The following is a 17,375-nucleotide window of genomic DNA, read 5'->3' as shown; positions in this document are numbered from 1 at the left end:
TCTTGATTTCAGGGAGTTTATTGAAGAAGTGTAGGAACCTGGTAGTCTAATACGAGAGTAAAAGACACATACCTAACCACAGTAGGCCAGCTGTGCAATATTACCAGCATTTAAGTGGGAATTCAGGAAGACTAAGAGAACTTTTGGCCAGGGGAATCAAGGGGTTGGTTAGAAACATGCTTCTGTACTGGCTGGTTATTAATGTGTTAACCTGTGCTGAGAGGAAAGTGAAAGACAGAAGTCAAGAATTTAGAATGGACTTGTTTTCTAAGAGAAATTGGCCTTTTTGTTCTTGGAGTGTAGCTTCTTGTTTGTTTAAACGGATACATTTAAAACCTTGTGGGCTTGGGCTTAGTGTCAACCAGTAAGTGAATATAGGGTTTATAAGTTCTTATGTCCCTGCGTAGATTGTTAATTAGCCTTCTTGCTTGTAGCAAGAAGACTCCTAGCAACTACTCAGAAACTCTGGTAAGGTTCTGAATAATGTCTTCCCCAAAAATGGGAGGTCAGAGACCAACTACTTGTATGGTGTTGGTGAAATCACTTAAACATGTTTAGGTCTTTGATCTGTAAAAGAAGTTCTTAAAGATATTCTTTAAGTATTTAGACCACGAATGAAAATTATATGGACTTCTCTAGAGATTTTCAGGGGTCAAAAGAGAAAATGGACTAGAAACATAAAGTGGTTGTGTTGAAGTTGTAGGTCTGGAGTCTTTATCGTATATTGCTTCTCACTTGTATTTACAAGACTTGATCAGATCTCACTTGTATTTACAAGATTTGATCAGACCTCACAGTCGGGGAGTCTGACCTCCTTTCTGGCTCAGTAGATAGGCCATTCAGAGCATTTATGAAGTAGTGGGTCTAGGAATGAGTCTTTGGGCTTACAGCTGAGGAGAAGCCTCTTGATTAGGTTTTGGTCCTTGGCACCTGGCAGATGATAGTTGCCTGCGACTGTCATAGTACAGTATTGGGTGGGAGATGGGACCAGTGTGATGGTGTTTAGGTTCTCCTTTCGCAGCTTTCCTTTTCCCGTGCAATGCCTTTATTTTAGTTTCTGTTCTTAGGATTTGGGCTATTTAAAATATTACTTTAGAAATTATAATCAGATTATCTTAACTTGGATCTTGGTAAATTTTTAGAACAAATCAGAGTCTCAGTATTTAATTATCTGAAAGAGCACAGGATGTTGGGTGACAACCATAATGGCACAGTAGAAAAACAAGTCATGCCTGACCAATTTAATTTCCTTCTGTGAAACCAAGGCAGTACTTAAAATGGGATATAATATAGAATATCTAAAATTCAGATTTAGTCAGACTTCTCTAGCTTGTCAGTTTTTTTTTTTTTTTTTTTTTTTTTAGATGGAGTCTCACTCTGTCACCCAGGCTGGAGTGCAGTGGTGCAACCTCTGCTCACCACAACCTCCATCTCCTAGGTTCAAGCGATTCTCCTGCCTCAGCCTCCTGAGTAGCTGGAATTACAGGTGCGTGCCACCATGCCAGGCTAATTTTTGTATTTTTAGTAGAGACAGGATTTCACGATGTTGGCCAGGCTGGCTTGAACTCTTGACCTCAAGTGATCCTCCTGCCTCAGCCTCCCAAGGTATTGGGATTATAGGCATGAGCCACTGCACCCGGCCATTTGTCAGTAATTTTTTAAAACAAATTTGGAAGCCAAATATTTCAGTAGAAGTTTTAGGGTTTTCAGTCCTTTCGAGTTTGTAGAATCCTTTTGCATTATGTTAGTGCTCTGAAACCCTGATCCATGATGTAACTTGGTATTGAGGGACAAGTACATCTTAACAAAGGTGACATGACTATATTCACTCTCTCTTAAAGATAGCTCATGTAATCCTGGAATTTGATGTAAATATGAAACCAGTTGCCTGCACTTCTTATTTTTGTGTGTGTGGGTTTTTGTTTTCTTAAATTTCTTTTTTTTTCGTTTGCCTGCAAGTTTTACTCTCAAATCCTCTCATTTCATGATTCCTGAGGCTTCCTTTAATGCTATCTACCCCTAGTCCTGAACACCTAAAAAATGTAATGGTTATCATTTATCTCTTTCAGATACAGAAAACAGAGTTAGGCCCCTCTAAATAATATACATGGTAATTTGGTGGGAGTGATTTTAGGGGAATAAATAATACCCTCTTAGATGGATTATCATTGGAGAGATGTTCCTTTAGGTCCACTGTCTTCTAAAAACTGAGCCTTGGGAGTAATAACATTTAATTTAATTCATACTAAATAATTGTTGTTTTCTTCCTGTGATTTTAGGAGAAACCCATTGGTTCGTACTAAATCAGTAGTGTTTTCTTCTTGTGATCTAAGGAGAAACTCAAAAAGTCGTAAGTGTGTTTTGCAAGTAAGCATAGATGGACACAAAAAACTCATAAACATTCTGGCTTAGACTCATTTCACAGATATATGTAGCTCATCCGTTAGCTGTAGTTCAAAAACAAAATTCCATACATTTTCTTAGGAGTAATGATTTTGGTTTTGTGCTAGCAACTTCTTCATATCATCTCTGGCCTTGACTGCATCCACACTTAAGAGGATCTAATCAGCAGGAGGTAATCATATTATCATCATGTACCTTTCCCATAATAACTCCCATCATTCCTTTTATGTGGATGAATAACCAATGTTTTCAGCAAAGGCCACTTCCTCCATTTAGGTTCTAAATTGGGTGTGATTTTGTCCACCAGGAGACATTTGGCAGTGTCTGGAGACATTTTTGATTGCTGTGACTGGAGGTGGGGAATTGGTACTGCCAACTAGTGAGGAGAGGCCAGAGATTTAGATAAAACGTCCTACAGTGCACGGGATAGTCCTCCACAATGAAGAGTTACCAAGCCCAAAATGTCAGTAGTACTGAAGTTGTGACAAACCCTGATTTGTACCTTACGGTTTGCATCTCTCTTTCCTACTCAAGTGCATGATTCTAGCAGTTTCTCCCTTCTCTCATAAAAATGCTTTTTCTGCTCTATTGAAACACTGTCTTCATTTAGCCTTCTTAGTTTTCTCCTACCATGCTTAATTGCTTCTTCTCAGCCTGATTCCAGATTTGTATACTCAGCTGTTTCTTTGACATCTCCTCCTTGAAGGTCTAATAGCTATCACAAAGACCTCATAACATTTTCCTCTTCCAGTCTTCCCTAAATCAATAAATAGCAACTCCACTTTTCTTTACTTTCCTTGTAATCTACCTTTTCTCTTCCATTTATGTCCCGTATCTAATGTTAGCAAATTCTAATGGTTATACCTTCAAAATGCGTCCAGAATCTGATTACTTCTTATCTCTACTGCTGCCACCTTGGTGCAAGACAGCATCATTTTTTTCCCCTGGATAATGGCAGTTGAATCTTAAATGGTCTTCCTGCCTTTTCTGACTCTAGCCTATCCTCCTTCAGTTTATTTTCAACATAGTAGCTAGAATGCTCCTGTTAAAATACAAATAAAATCTTGTTAGCCCCTTATTCCAGACTTTCACGTGGCTTTTTTTTCCACTCAGAATAAAAACCTGAGTGCCTGCAATGCCCTCTATTGCTATTTCTTTAGCACCTAAAACAGAAGGTGGTACAAAAAAGTACTCAATAAATTAGTAAATGGAAAGGATACTTAGTGTAATACACACATAGTAAAAACAGTGATCTTTTCATAAGGCTATTTTTTTATAATACTTCTTGGTATAGGTCAGTGGCATTAAGTCATATTTAGAAAAATCAATTTTATACGATGAAGGCAGAGAGCTTTGATATAATATAGGTGTAAAGCTGTGCTGCCCTGGTTTACTCCAAGGATATATATTAATGTATCAGGAGGAATTGACAGGTGGTTCTCAAATTTTCCTCAGTGGTGCTTTTGAAAGACTTAAGTATATAATGAATTAGAGATTAGCCTGACAAATACCTGGAGTGTAGAGATTCTGTACTTTAGGAGTTTAATATGTTGTATTAATTTGCTGGGGCTGCCATAACAAAATAATACAGACTGGGTAGCTTAAACAACAGATTTTTTTTCCTCACAGTTCTGGAGTTTGGAAGTCCAAGATCTATGTGTCAGCAGATTTGGTTTATCTGGAGGACTTTCTCCTTGTCTTGTACATTGCCCCCTTCTTGTTATTTCCTCATATGGCTTTTCCTTTGTGTACATGCACTTGCGGTGTCTTTTTCTCTTCTTAGGGACGCTAGTCTTATAGGGCCCCACCCTTAAGATCTCATTTAACCTTATATTACCTCTTGAAAGGCCTTACCTCCAAACACAGTCACGTTGGTAGTTAGAGTTTCAAGCTATGAATTTTGGGGTTACACAATATAGTCCACAACACATGTTAACAATCAGCTGAGCTGGTCCTGGAATTGAAAATTGAGGAGCCTAGCAAAGACATGATTGAGGTGGCCACCCTACTTGGTGGTAATCTCAGCTCAACCAAAGGAGTACTCTTGGATAGAAGCAAGATTCTGTTAAAGAAATTTTAAGAATATGCTAATATGTGGACAAATGGAAAATTCAAACATGACTGTGATAATTTTATGCTGGACAAATTTTATATAGACATAATTACAAGCACAGTTTGGCCATTAGAAGCAAAAAGCAAATAAAAACCCCAAAGAATTCAGATTTTTTTGGTTTAAAAAATTAATATAATATCTGCATTGTAAAAAAGTTATAATTCCAACAGTGTTGAAATATAGAAAGTAAAACTGAAAGTTTCCAGTTCCCAGAAGAATTCGTATAACTTACTGGTTATCCTTTATTCAAAAAATATTTTGGCACCTAGACATTGTGCATACAGGATAAACTAGCTATTGAAGTGTACTGTTGTATAAGAGGACTTGGTGTATGTTGTTATGTTGCAGGAAGTCAAGGACCCTAAACGGAGGGACAGGCTGAAGCTATGGCAGAAGAACATAAATTGTGAAGATTTCATGGACATTTATTAGTTCCCCAAATTAATACTTTCATAATTTCTTACACCTGTCTTTACTGCAGTCTCTGAACATAAATTGTGAAGATTTCATGGACATTTATCACTTCCCCAGTCAATACTCTTATGATTTCCTATGCCTGTCTTTACTTTAATCTCTTAATCCCGTCATCTTCGTAAGCTGAGGATGAATGTCTCCTCAGGACCCTGTGATGATTGCATTAACTGCACAAATTGTTTAAACAATATGAAATCTGGGCACCTTGAAAAAAGAACAGGATAACAGCAATGTTCAGGGAACAAGGGAGATAACCTTAAAGTCTGGCTGCCTGTGGGCTGGGTGGAACAGAGCCATATTTCTCTACTTTCAAAAGCAAATAGGAGAAATATCGCTGAATTCTTTTTCTCAGCAAGGAACATCCCTGAGAAAGAGAAGGCGTCCCTAAGGGGAGGCCTCTAAAATGGCTGCTTTGGGGCTGGCTGTCTTTTACGGTCATAGATGGGGGATGAAATAAGCCCTGGTCTCCCTTAGTGCTCCCAGGCTTATTAGGATGAGGAAATTCCCACCTAATAAATATTGGTCAGACTGGTTGTCTGCTCTCAAACCCTGTCTCCTGATAAGATGTTTTCAATGACAATGCATGCCCGAAACTTCATTAGCAATTTTAATTTCAACCCGGTCCTGAGATCTTGCCCTGCCTCCATTTGTCTTGTGATATTTTATTACCTTGTGAAGCATATGATCTCTGTGACCCACACCCTATTCGTACACTCCCTCCCCTTTTGAAAATCACTAATAAAAACTTGCTGGTTTTGCGGCTTGGGGGGCATCACGGAACCTGCTGACATGTGATGTCTCCCCCGGACACCCAGCTTTAAAATTTCTCTTTTGTACTCTTTCCCTTTATTTCCCAGACTGGCCGACACTTAGGGAAAATAGAAAATAACCTATATGAAATATTGGGGGTGAATTTCCCCCGATATTGTTATTAGCTATAAATTAGTTAAATTGGGGATCATGTACTAATGTGACGATTTGATTATGGAATAATTGAACTATAGCCATTCTTCCTGGCAGTATTAAATAGTGCTATCTCTATGTGGTTGGTATATAGAAAACAAGGCAATTTTTAAAAGTAGTAGGATTAATATTTATCTTGTATATTAAATTGGTACGTGAAATTAAGTCTGCTTTACAAATTAAATCTAGTCTAGTATCTTCATTTTGTGTCTGGAATTGGTTCCTGCCAGTGGGTTCGTGGTCTTCCTGACTTCAAGAATGGAGCCGCAGACCTTCGCGGTCAATGTTACAGCTCTTAAAGATGGCATGGACCCAAAGAAAGAGTGGTAGCAAGGTTTACTGTGCAAAGCAAAAGGACAAAGCTTCCACAGCATGGAAGGGGACCCGAGCGGGTTGCCGCTACTGGCTGTGGTAGCCAGCTTTTATTCCCTTACTTGTCCCCTCCTGTGTTCTGTTTCTGTGCTATCAGAATGCCCCTTTTTCAGTCCTCCCTGCAATTGGCTACTTTTAGGATCCTGCTGATTGGTGTGTTTTACAGAGCGCTGATTGGTGCATTTTACAATCCTCTTGTAAGACAGAAAAGTTCTCCAAGTCCCCATTCGACCCAGGAAGTCCAGCTAGCTTCACCTCTCAATTTCATAGATGGGGATACTAATACTTTTGAGAAGTTAAATGATTTAATGAAGGCCACCTAGTTAGTACTGTGATAGAATTAAGACTGGAACACAAAGCTCCCATTTCTCCCTCCCACCCCGCAAGATGTAAAAAGTAACATATGCCCTTGTAGATAATTTGAAAAATGCTGAAGAAAGAGAAAATCATTTATAATGGCACAATCCAGAGATAACCCCACTTAACATTTTGGTAAATTGGACTGAGGCCTCATGGAGGAAGCTCATATTATTACTGATTTGAGAATGTTTACCTGTAATTTTCTTTCTTGAATGATTTTTGGGTAGTTATTTTGCTAATAATTTATTCTATTTTGTGTAGATTTTCAAATTTATGAGTATAAAGTTGTTCACAGCGGCCTCTTAATATCTTCTTAGGTCTGCAGCATCTCTGTTGCTTCTTTTGTCATTACTGCCATTGGTTATTTGTGCCTCTCCCTTTTTCTTCAGCAAAGGTTTATCAACTTTATTAATCTTTTTTAAAGAACCCACTTTAGCTTTACCACTTCTCTCTGTTATATACTTATTTTCTATTTTATTAATGTTTTTCTTAATTTATTATTTCCTTTCTTCTATATTATATTAATTGTGCTGTTTTTCCCCTACCTTATTGAGCTAAATGCTTAGCTCATTTTTGTCTTTCTCCCTAATAGATGAATTTAGAATGTACGTTTTCTTCCAAGATCTGCATTCTCTGCATTCTACAAAGCTGTTTTTAAAACCATGCACTCATAAGTAATTTGGAAGTAAATTTCTGAATATATGAGACTTTTAAAGTTACAAATATGCTTACTAATTTCTAGCATAGCTGTATTGTGTGCAAGTGGCATGCGGTATGTACTTCTAGTCTTTTTAAGTTTATTGAAATTTCAGTTGGTCAGTTTTTATAAGTTTTTTTTTTTTTTTGAGATGGAGTCTCGCTCTGTCGCCCAGGCTGGAGTGCAGTGGCGCGATCTCGGCTCACTGCAAGCTCTGTCTCCTGGGTTCATGCCATTCTCCTGCCTTAGCCTCCCAAGTAGCTGGGACTACAGGCACCGGCCACCATGCCCGGCTAATTTTTTGTATTTTTATTGGAGACGGGGTTTCACCATGTTAGCCAGGATGGTCTCGATCTCCTGACCTCATGATCTGCCCGCCTCGGCCTCCCAAAGTTCTGGGATTACAGGCGTGAGCCACCGTGCCTGGCCTTTATAAGTGTTTCATATGTGCTTAAAGAAAATGTGTCCTCTTCAATTGTTGGACAGAATTTTATATATTTTAGGTCAAGGTTGTTAATCATGTTCTTTAAATCTCCTAAAACTTTACCGCTTTTCTGTCTGCTTATTCATTTTGCTGAGAGATGTGTTAAAATCTACTATAAATATGCATTTATTCCTATCTTGTGGTTTTGTTAATTTTGTTTTATTTATTTGTGCTTACAAGTTTAAAATTATTATATCTTCTTGGTGAATTGATCTGTTGATCATTAGGAAGTAACCCTTTTTGATTTCTAACAGTGCTTCTGCAGTGTACTTTCTCTGGCATTAATATAGTTTTATTAGCTTTCTTTGGTTGGCATTTGTACAGTCTTATCTTTTTACTTCAACTTTTCTGCATAGTTACGTTTCAGATCGTTCTTCCAAATACAGTGATGCATTGATTAACAATGAAGATGCATTCAATATATTGCTAGGCAATTTCATCGTCGTGCAAACATCATAAAGTGTACTTACACAAACCTAGATAGTTTTTTTTTTTTTTTTTAAGACTGACTTTCACTCTTGTTGCCCAGGCTGGAGTGCAATGGCGCAATCTCTGCTCACTGCAACCTCCGTTCTCCCGGGTTTAAGTGATTTTCCTGCCTCAACCTCCCAAATAGCTGGAATTACAGGCATGTACCACCATGCCTGGCTAATTTTTGTATTTTTAGTAGAGGTGGGGTTTCACCATGTTGGCCAGGCTGGTCTCAAACTCCTGACCTCAGGTGATCCATCCTCCTTGGCCTCCCAAAGTGCAGGGATTACAGGCGTGAGCCACCACACCCGGCCACAAACGTAGATAGTATAGCCTAGAACATATCTAGGCTATATGGTATAGCCTGTTGCTCCCAGGCTACAAAGCTATATAGCCTGTTACTGTACTGAATAATGTACCCAGTTGTACTGCATTGGTATTTGTGTATCTAAACATATCTAAATGTAGAAAAGGTACAGTGAAAATATGGCATTATAATCTTATGGGACCACCATCATAGTTTATGTGTGGTCCATTGTAGACCGGGTCCGTTGTAGAATGTTACGTGGCACATGACTGTAAAACATAGTTGGATTTTTAAAAATACAGCCTGACAATTTCTGTGTTCACTAGAACTTTCACTTCATTTATACTTAATGTAATTACTGGCATGTTTGTGTTTAAATTCACAATCTTACTATGTGCTTTTTATTTGTTCCTTTTGTTCTTTGCTCCTTTTTCTCCTTTCTTGTGTCTTTTGAAATGAATTTTTTCATTCAGTTTTTTCCCTCTAGTCCTAAGACTCCATATTCTGTTTCTATTCTTTTGCTAGTTACTCTAGAAATTACAGGATGCATTCTTAACTTATTTCACTTATTGAAGCCTTATGAGGGTTTACATTCTTTGTAGACAATTCAAGAACCTTTTGTATTGCTTTTTAACTCCCTTCCTGCTTATAATATATCCTTCTATGGTAAGCCTATTTTTATAACCCTGGAAGACATTATTATTTTACAGAGTCAATGCTTACTTAGATTTACCCATATGTTACTTTGCTCTTCGTTTCTTCCTTCCTCTCTTACATTCCATTTGAGATCATTTTCCTTCTTCCTGGAGAATCTCCATTAGAATTTCCTTGGTATCAATCTGTTAGTGTTGTAATGTTGTCTTTTGTTTGTCTAAAAAAGCCTTTTTTTTTCATTCTTTTTTAAACTTTTAGTTTCAGGGGTACATGTGCAGGTTTATTATACAGGTAAGTTGTGTGTTGCTTGGTTTGGTGTACAGATTATTTTGTCACCCAGGTAATAAGTATAGTTCCCGATAGGTAGTTTTTTGATCCTCTCCCTCTTCCTTCCTTCCACTCTTAAGTATGCTGTGGCATCTATTGTTCCCTTCTTTGTGTCCATGTGTACTCAGTGTTTAGCTTCCACTTATAAATGAGAATATGTGGTATTTGGTTTTCTGTTTCTGCCTTAGTTTACTTAGGATAATGGCCTCCAACTACATACATGTTCTTGCAAAGGACATGATCTCATTTTTTTGGCTGCATAGTATTCTGTGGCATATGTGTACCACATTTTCTTTATCCAGTCTATTATTGATGGGCATCTAGGTTGATTCCCTGTCTTTGCAATTGTGAATAGTGCTGCAGTGGACATACGCATGCATGCGTCTTCATGGTATAACGATTTATATTCCTTTGGCCATATACCCAATAATGGGATTGCTGGGTTGAATTGTAGTTCTGTTTTTATTTTGTTTCATTCTTTTTTTTTTGAGACTGAGTCTTGCTCTGTTGCCCAGGCTGGAGTGTAGTGGTGTGATCTTGGCTCACTGCAACCTCCGCCTCCCAGGTTCACGTGGTTCTCCTGCCTCAGCCTCCCAAGTAGCTGGGATTACAGGTGCGCACCACCACATCTGGCTAATTTTTGTATTTTTAGGAGAGAAGGGTTTCACCATGTTGGCCAGGCTGGTCTTGAACTCCTGACCTCAAGCAGTCTGCCCACCTCAGCCTCCAAAAGTGCTGGGATTACAGGTGTGAGCCCAGCCTATTTTGTTTCATTCTTGAAAGGCCGTTTTGCTGTCTTTTAGCAGGTAGACAGGTAGGTAGAGCATGGCAGTGTTTTCTTTCAGCACCTTGAGGATTATAGTCTTCTGGTCTCTACTGTTTCTGTTGAGACGTAAACTGCTAATTTACTGTTGGTTCTTTGAAAGTTATATATTTTTTTCTCTTAGTTGCCTTTGAGATTTTTTTCCTTTGTGTTTCTGAAGTTTTGCTGTGTTTGGTCTATGTATACATTTAAAAAATCTGCTTGGGAGTTTTCAAATCTGTAAATTAATATCTTTCATCATTTATTGAAAAATTTCAGCTGTTTCTTCAAATATTGCCTCTGCCCTGATTGACCTTATAAAACAAATAAATATGTTTCAGACTTTCTGACTTTATTTCTGTGACTAATACCTTTTGCCATGTTTTCTATCTTTTTTTTTCTTTTTTCTTTTTTTGAGACGGAGTCTCGCTCTGTCGCTCAGGCTGGAGTGCAATGGTGCGGTCTCGGCTCACTGCAAGCTCTGCCTCCCGGGTTCGAGCCATTCTTCTGCCTCAGCCTCCCGAGTAGCTGGGACTACAGGCACCTGCCACCGTGCCTGGCTAATTTTTTGTATTTTTAGTAGAGACGGGGTTTCACTGTGTTAGCCAGGATGGTCTTGATTTCCTGACCTTGTGATCCGCCTGCCTCGGCCTCCCAAAGTGCTGGGATTACAGACGTGAGCCACCGCGCCCGGCCTTTTTTTTTTTGGTGGGGGCAGAGTCTCACTCTGTCACCCAGGCTCTGGAGTGCAGTGGAGCAATCTCAGCTTACTGCAAGTTCCACCTCCCAGGTTCAAGCGATTCTCCTGCCTCAGCCTCCCGAGTAGCTGGGATTACAGGCATCCATCACCATGCCTAGCTAATTTTTAAATTTTTAGTAGGGACAGGGTTTCGCCATGTTGGCTAGGCTGGTCTCGAACTCTGACCTCAGGTGATCTGCCCACCTTGGCCTCCGAAAGTGCTGGGATTACAGGCCTGAGCCACCTTGCCCGGCCCCATGTTTTCTATCTTTTTATCCTTTTGTGCAACATTCTAGATGTTTTTTTCTAATCAATTTGCAAATCCTATATTCAGCCATGTCTAATTTGCTGTTAAAGCCATCCGTAAGTTCTTAGTTTTGGTTGTTACACTGGTTCTTTCATGAGGTCTTTTTTCCTTGTGTGATAGATATTGTTGACTTTGTGTATTTGAAAAAAGACTTTTAGGAATAACCTAAGGCCCAAGATGGTGGTATCTTACCCAAAAGGGAATTTTAATTTAATTAGGTGACATGTCTTGGGGATTTTACTGTTTAGGGAAGACATTAATTCAAGCGCAAGGCTTGAAATTTTCTAAACCATCTAAATGATGCAAAGACAGATGCGAATCTCTACAAGTGGCCGGGCGCCATGGCTCATGCCTGTAATCCCAGCACTTTGGGAGGCTGTGGTGCGTGGATAACCTGAGGTCAGGAGTTCGAGACCAGCCTGGTCAACTGGTGAAACCCTGTCTCTACTAAAAATACGAAATTAGCTGGGCATAGCGTCGTCCCAGCTACTCGGGAGGCTGAGGCAGAAGAATTGCTTGAACCCGGGAGGCAGAGGTTGCAGTGAGCTGAGATCGCGCCACTGCACTCCAGCCTGGGCGACAAGAACAAAACTCCCATCTCACATCCACACCCCCACACACACACATACAAAATCTCTATAAGTGTGTTGGTTTAATTCTAGGTCTCTAATGTTATGTGGATTAATCTTCAAGATTTCAGTTTAAAGTGTTGGGTAGTTTATTGGAGTCCCATCTTTTGTCAGATGGAGCACTTTCATTTTTGTTCCTCTAGATCCAAGAGACCATCAAAATGCAGCTCAGTTTTACCCTCACTCTTTTAGATTAGCAAATGCTGTTAGGACAAATTGGCATTCAGTGCTGAGCACAGCCTTATGTTCTCCTTTTCTCTTAGATTTTGGCCCACTAATTCCTCACAGTATTTTTTATTTTTTTAGCTCTTTGAGTGTTTTTACATCTATGTTCATTAAGAATATTAATCTGGGGCCGGGCGCGGTGGCTCACGCCTGTAATCCCAGCACTTTGGGAGGCCGAGGCGGGTGGATCATGAGGTCAGGAGATCGAGACCATCCTGGCTAACAAGGTGAAACCCCGTCTCTACTAAAAATACAAAATATTAGCCGGGCGCGGTGGCGGGCGCCTGTAGTCCCAGCTACTGGGGAGGCTGAGGCGGGAGAATGGCGTGAACCCGGGAAGCGGAGCTTGCAGTGAGCCGAGATTGCGCCACTGCAGTCCGCAGTCCGGCCTGGGCGACAGAGCGAGACTCCGTCTCAAAAAAAAAAAAAAAAAAAAAAAAAAAAAAAAAAAAAGAATATTAATCTGTATGGGCTGGGCCGGGTAGCTCACACCTATAATCCCAGCAGTTTGGAAGGCCAAAGCAGGCAGATCACTTGAAGTCAGGAGTTCGAGACCAGCCTGGCCAACACGGTGAAACCCTGTCTCTACTAAAAATACAAAAATTAGCCAGGCATGGTGGCACACGCCTGTAGTCCCAGCCACTTGGGAGGTTGAGGCACTAGAATCACTTGAACCCAAGAGGTAGAGGTGGCAGTGAGCTGAGATGATGCTACTGCACTCTAGCCTGAGTGACAGAGTGAGACGCTGTTTAAAAAAAATACATATATTTATATGTTTTTTTCCCCCGTTGTACTGTTTTTGTCGAGTTTTGGTATCATGCTAAGATGTTTTTTGTATATTTCATGAAGCTTTTTGTGTTTTAAATTTAGATCCTATGATTCATTTTGAGTTAATTTTTGTGTAAAATATCAGATTAGATTTTTTTTTTGATATATGAACATCCAGTTGTTCCAACACCATTTGTTGAAAAGCTGCCCTTTCTCCATTGAATTGCCTTTGTACCTTTGTAAAAAATCAATTGGCTATATTTTTGTGGGTCTATTTCTGGAATCTGTATTCTGTTGCACTGATCTATGTCTCTATCCTTTTGCCACAATACCACTGTCTTGATTATTGACTTTATGGTAAGTCTTATAATTGAGTAGTGTGATTCTTTGAACTTTATTCTCTTTTTTTACAATTGTTTTAGTTATTCTAGTTCCTTTACCTTTCCATTTAAATTTTAGGATCAGTTTGTCCATAGCTACAAAAAAAATCCTACTGGGAATGAACTTGATTGCCTTTCTTTTAAATCTGTAGATCAATTTGTGGAGAAGTGACATCTTTGAGTCTTCCAATTATGAACATATGTCTATATTTATTTAGATCTTCTTTGATTTTTCATCAGTGTTTATGCATATAGATCTGATACATGTTTTGTTAGAAGTATTTAATTTTTCAGACCTATGTTAAAATGGTATCTTTTTAAACATTTTATTTTCCAATTGTTTCCAGTTGTTCATGGCTGCACAGAAATTCTGATTTTGTATCCTGTGACCTTATTAGCACTAGGCTTCTTTTTTTTTTTTGTAAATCTCTTGGGATTTTCAGTGTAGATATCCACACTAGCTGCAAATTAGACAGTTTGAATTCTTCTTTTCCAATGTATGTGTTCTTTTTTTTTTTTTCCTTATTGCAGTACTAGGTTTTTTTTTTATAGATGCCCTTTATAAGGCTGAGAAGATTCTTTTTTATTCCTTGTTTGCTGAAAGTTATTATCATAAAGGAATCTTGAGTATTGTCAAGTGCTTTTTCTGTATGCATTAATATGGTTATATATTTTTTCTTTAAATTATTAATGTGTGGATTGCCGTGATTGAGTTTTGAAAATTGAATCAGTCTTGTAGTACCAGTATAAGCCCCACTTCGTTATGGTATATTATTGTTTTTATTTGTGGCTGGATTTGATTTGCTAATATTTTATTGAGTGTGTTTGCATCTGTGTTCATTAAGAATATTTTTTATTATGTTTTTTCTCCTGTACTGTTTTTGTCTGGTTTTGGTATCATTGTAATACTAGCTTCATGAGTTTGGAAGTATTTTGTCCTTTTCTTTTTTTTTTTCAGACGGAGTCTCACTGTGTCACCCAGGCTGGAGTGCAGTGGTGCAATCTCAGCTCACTGCAAGCTCCGCCTCCCGGGTTCGCGCCATTCTCCTGCCTCAGCCTCGTGACTAGCTGGGACTACTGGTGCCTGCCACCACGCCCGGCTAATTTTTTTTTGTTTTTTAGTAGAGATGGGGTTTCGCCATGTTAGCTAGTATGGTGTCGATCTCCTGACCTCGTGATCTGCCTGCCTGGGCCTCCCAAAGTGCTGGGATTACAGGCGTGAGTCACTGCGCCCGGCCGTATTTTGTCCTTTTCTACTTTCTCTCAGGATTATGTAGAATAGGTGTTATTTCTTTTTTAAATGTTAGTAGAATTTATAAGTGAAACAATCTGGGCCTGGAGTTTTCTTTTTCAGAAGGGTTTTAACTATACGTTTAATTTATTTAATAGTTAAAGGACTATCCTAGTAATATGTTTCAGCTTGGGTGTGTTTTTACTGTTTTTGGTTTTAGAGGAATTGGTCTTTTTCATCTGTTTCATTTTTATAGGTTTGCGTATAGAGTTGTTTGTGGCATTTCGTTATTATACTTTTAATGTGTGCAGGGTTAGTACTGATACCCCTCTTTTATTCTTGATATTGGTAATTTGTGTCTTTTCTCTTTGCCTATCTTGCTGAAGTTTTTATGTTATATTGCTCTTTTGATTTCATTCATATTCACTCTTGGTTTTCTGTTAATATCATTGATATCTGCTTTTTTATTGTTTCCTGCCTTCTATGTGATTTGGAATTGTTTTACTCTTCTTTTTCTAATTGATTAAGATGGAAACCTATGTTATTGATTTGGGGAGTGCCCACACTTCTTTAAACATTTTTCTACTAGCCATTTTAACATCTTTGTCAGTTGATTTCAACATCTGTGTCTTGTTGTCTCTTCTCTTGCAAGTTGAGATTTTCTTAGTTCTTTATATGAGTAATTTTGGATTATGCCTGGACATTTAAAAATATTACGTTATGCGACTCTGGGCCTTTTGTAAATCCTATGGAGAATGTTGATATTTTTGTTTTAGCAGGAATTAGAGCTGGCTGGGTTGAGATGGAAAGGTTTGACCAACCTTCTGTATATTGTAGTTTCCATGTAAGTTCCATTTTCAAAGCCTTTGCAGTGCTAGCTGAATATACTCTATCCTGTGATGTGCCACTGAGTGGCCAGTATGGAACCTGGGCAGTGGTCTCAAGGTCTTTGCTCTGCTGTTTAAGCTTAAGATTATGCTTGCACAGCCTGGGGATGAGCCCGGGAGTTTACAAGCAAGTTTGTTGAGTTGCCTTTCCAGACTCCTCTTTCTGTGACTTTCCTGGTACTTTCTGGTTTTCTGGCTGGAAAACCAGTCACTTCCTGTGACTGTACCTGTCTATATTCAGTGCCAAAGTACCTGTAGAGAAAGAAAAAGAGCAACGTGGATCCACTCTACTCTCTTGGGGTCATGGCACCTCAGAGTAGAACTGTGGAATTATTTGGGGGCTGTGATATCAGAAAATAGAGAAAAGGGAAAAAAAAGATAAAGGGAGAATTTTTCCTCCCTTTCTGTGAACATTAAGAGTCTCCTTTCCCATTCCTTGAGCCAAAAGTAAATGGCTTCTCCTGGAGCTCTCTGTTTTTGCTGCTTGGTTTAGGCCTGACAGTCCAGGCCTAACTTAGTTCAGTAAAATGGGAAACTCTGCTAGAATAGTGAACTTCAAACTCCATTCTTCTTACCGCATTTATCTGCTATAATTCACCTTATTAAGAGTCCTCAAATAGCTGTTCTGTGCTTTCTGTTTATGTTTTATGGCTGCATCAAGTGGGAGAGACATCACTGTGGTTACTTTATTTTACTTGGAACTGGAGCTATGATGTCATTTTTCATACCATCAAAAAGGACCTAGCAACAAATCTAATGATATATGTGTAAAACTCCTATAAGCAAAATTAATAAACTTTATTGAGAGACTTAAAGGAGATAAATACTATGTTCATGGACTGGAAGATTCACTACTGTAAAAATATCAACCATTTCCAAGCTTATTTATGTATCTTTGATGCATTCCCAATCAAAATTTTAAGAGAATTTTGTGGAATTTGATAGAATGATGCTAAAATTTTATGGAGCTAGATAGTGCCAAGAATAGATAAGGCAATATTGAAGAGCAATAAAGAAGACTTCTACCAGCTCAAGACTTATAAAAGTTGTAGTCATTAAGATAGTGAGATGGCAGTCTGAGGACAAATACACCAAAATCAGCACCAGAAAGAGACCCACACATTTGTTGATGTTTGATTTATATCACAATTGGCATGGTAGAGTAACAGGATGGTTGATCTTTTCAATCAGTGGTGCTGGGACATCTTGTTATCTACATAGGAAAGAAGGAAGACTTGGTCCCTATCTCACCCCATACATAAAAATTAACTCCAAGTAGATTAGAGATGTGCAAGACAGAACAATACATATTTTAGAAGGGAGAATTCAGAGGAATACATGTAGAGGAAAATGTATTGCTAACCTTGAGGTTGCAAAAGATTTCTTAAAACATCAAATTTTTTTTTTTTTTTTTGAGATGGAGTCTTGCTTTGTCACCCAGGCTGGAATGCAGTGGTGCAATCTCGGCTCACTGCAAGCTCCGCCTCCCAGGTTCACGCCATTCTCCTGCCTCAGCCTCCCGAGTAGCTGGGACTACAGGCGCCTGCCACCACGCCCGGCTAATTTTTTGTATTTTTAGTAGAGATGGGGTTTCACCACGTTAGCCAGGGTGGTCTCAATATCCTGACCTTGTGATCCGCCCGCCTCGGTCTCCCAAAGTGCTGGGATTACAGGCATAAGCCACCATGCCTGGCCAAATTGTTTTATTTTCCTCTAATTTGATCTTTCTTGAGAGTGTCTGTAAACTCTCTGGAGAGTGGCTGTTAACTGTATGTCTGTCCT

The 17,375-nt window shown here is 38.9% G+C and overlaps 1 protein-coding gene across 21 annotated transcripts in view, besides 1 other annotated feature; it reads left to right on the top strand.

Moving 5' to 3' along the window:
- DMXL2 (Dmx like 2) overlaps positions 1 to 17,375 on the top strand; it is a 174,981-nt gene that overhangs the window by 4,474 nt on the left and 153,132 nt on the right. The window lies entirely within an intron of this gene.
- Positions 14,452 to 14,746: an enhancer, noted in NCBI's record as "tiled region #1269; K562 Activating DNase unmatched - State 5:Enh". NCBI's record gives its function as "activates a minimal TATA promoter and a strong SV40 promoter by Sharpr-MPRA in K562 cells {active_cell/tissue: K562}" and the evidence as "EXISTENCE:reporter gene assay evidence [ECO:0000049][PMID:27701403]".

This window comes from Homo sapiens, chromosome 15 (assembly GCF_000001405.40).
Source record: "Homo sapiens chromosome 15, GRCh38.p14 Primary Assembly".
Taxonomy (NCBI): Eukaryota; Metazoa; Chordata; class Mammalia; order Primates; family Hominidae; genus Homo; species Homo sapiens.
This window is presented reverse-complemented; position numbering and strand designations above follow the sequence as displayed.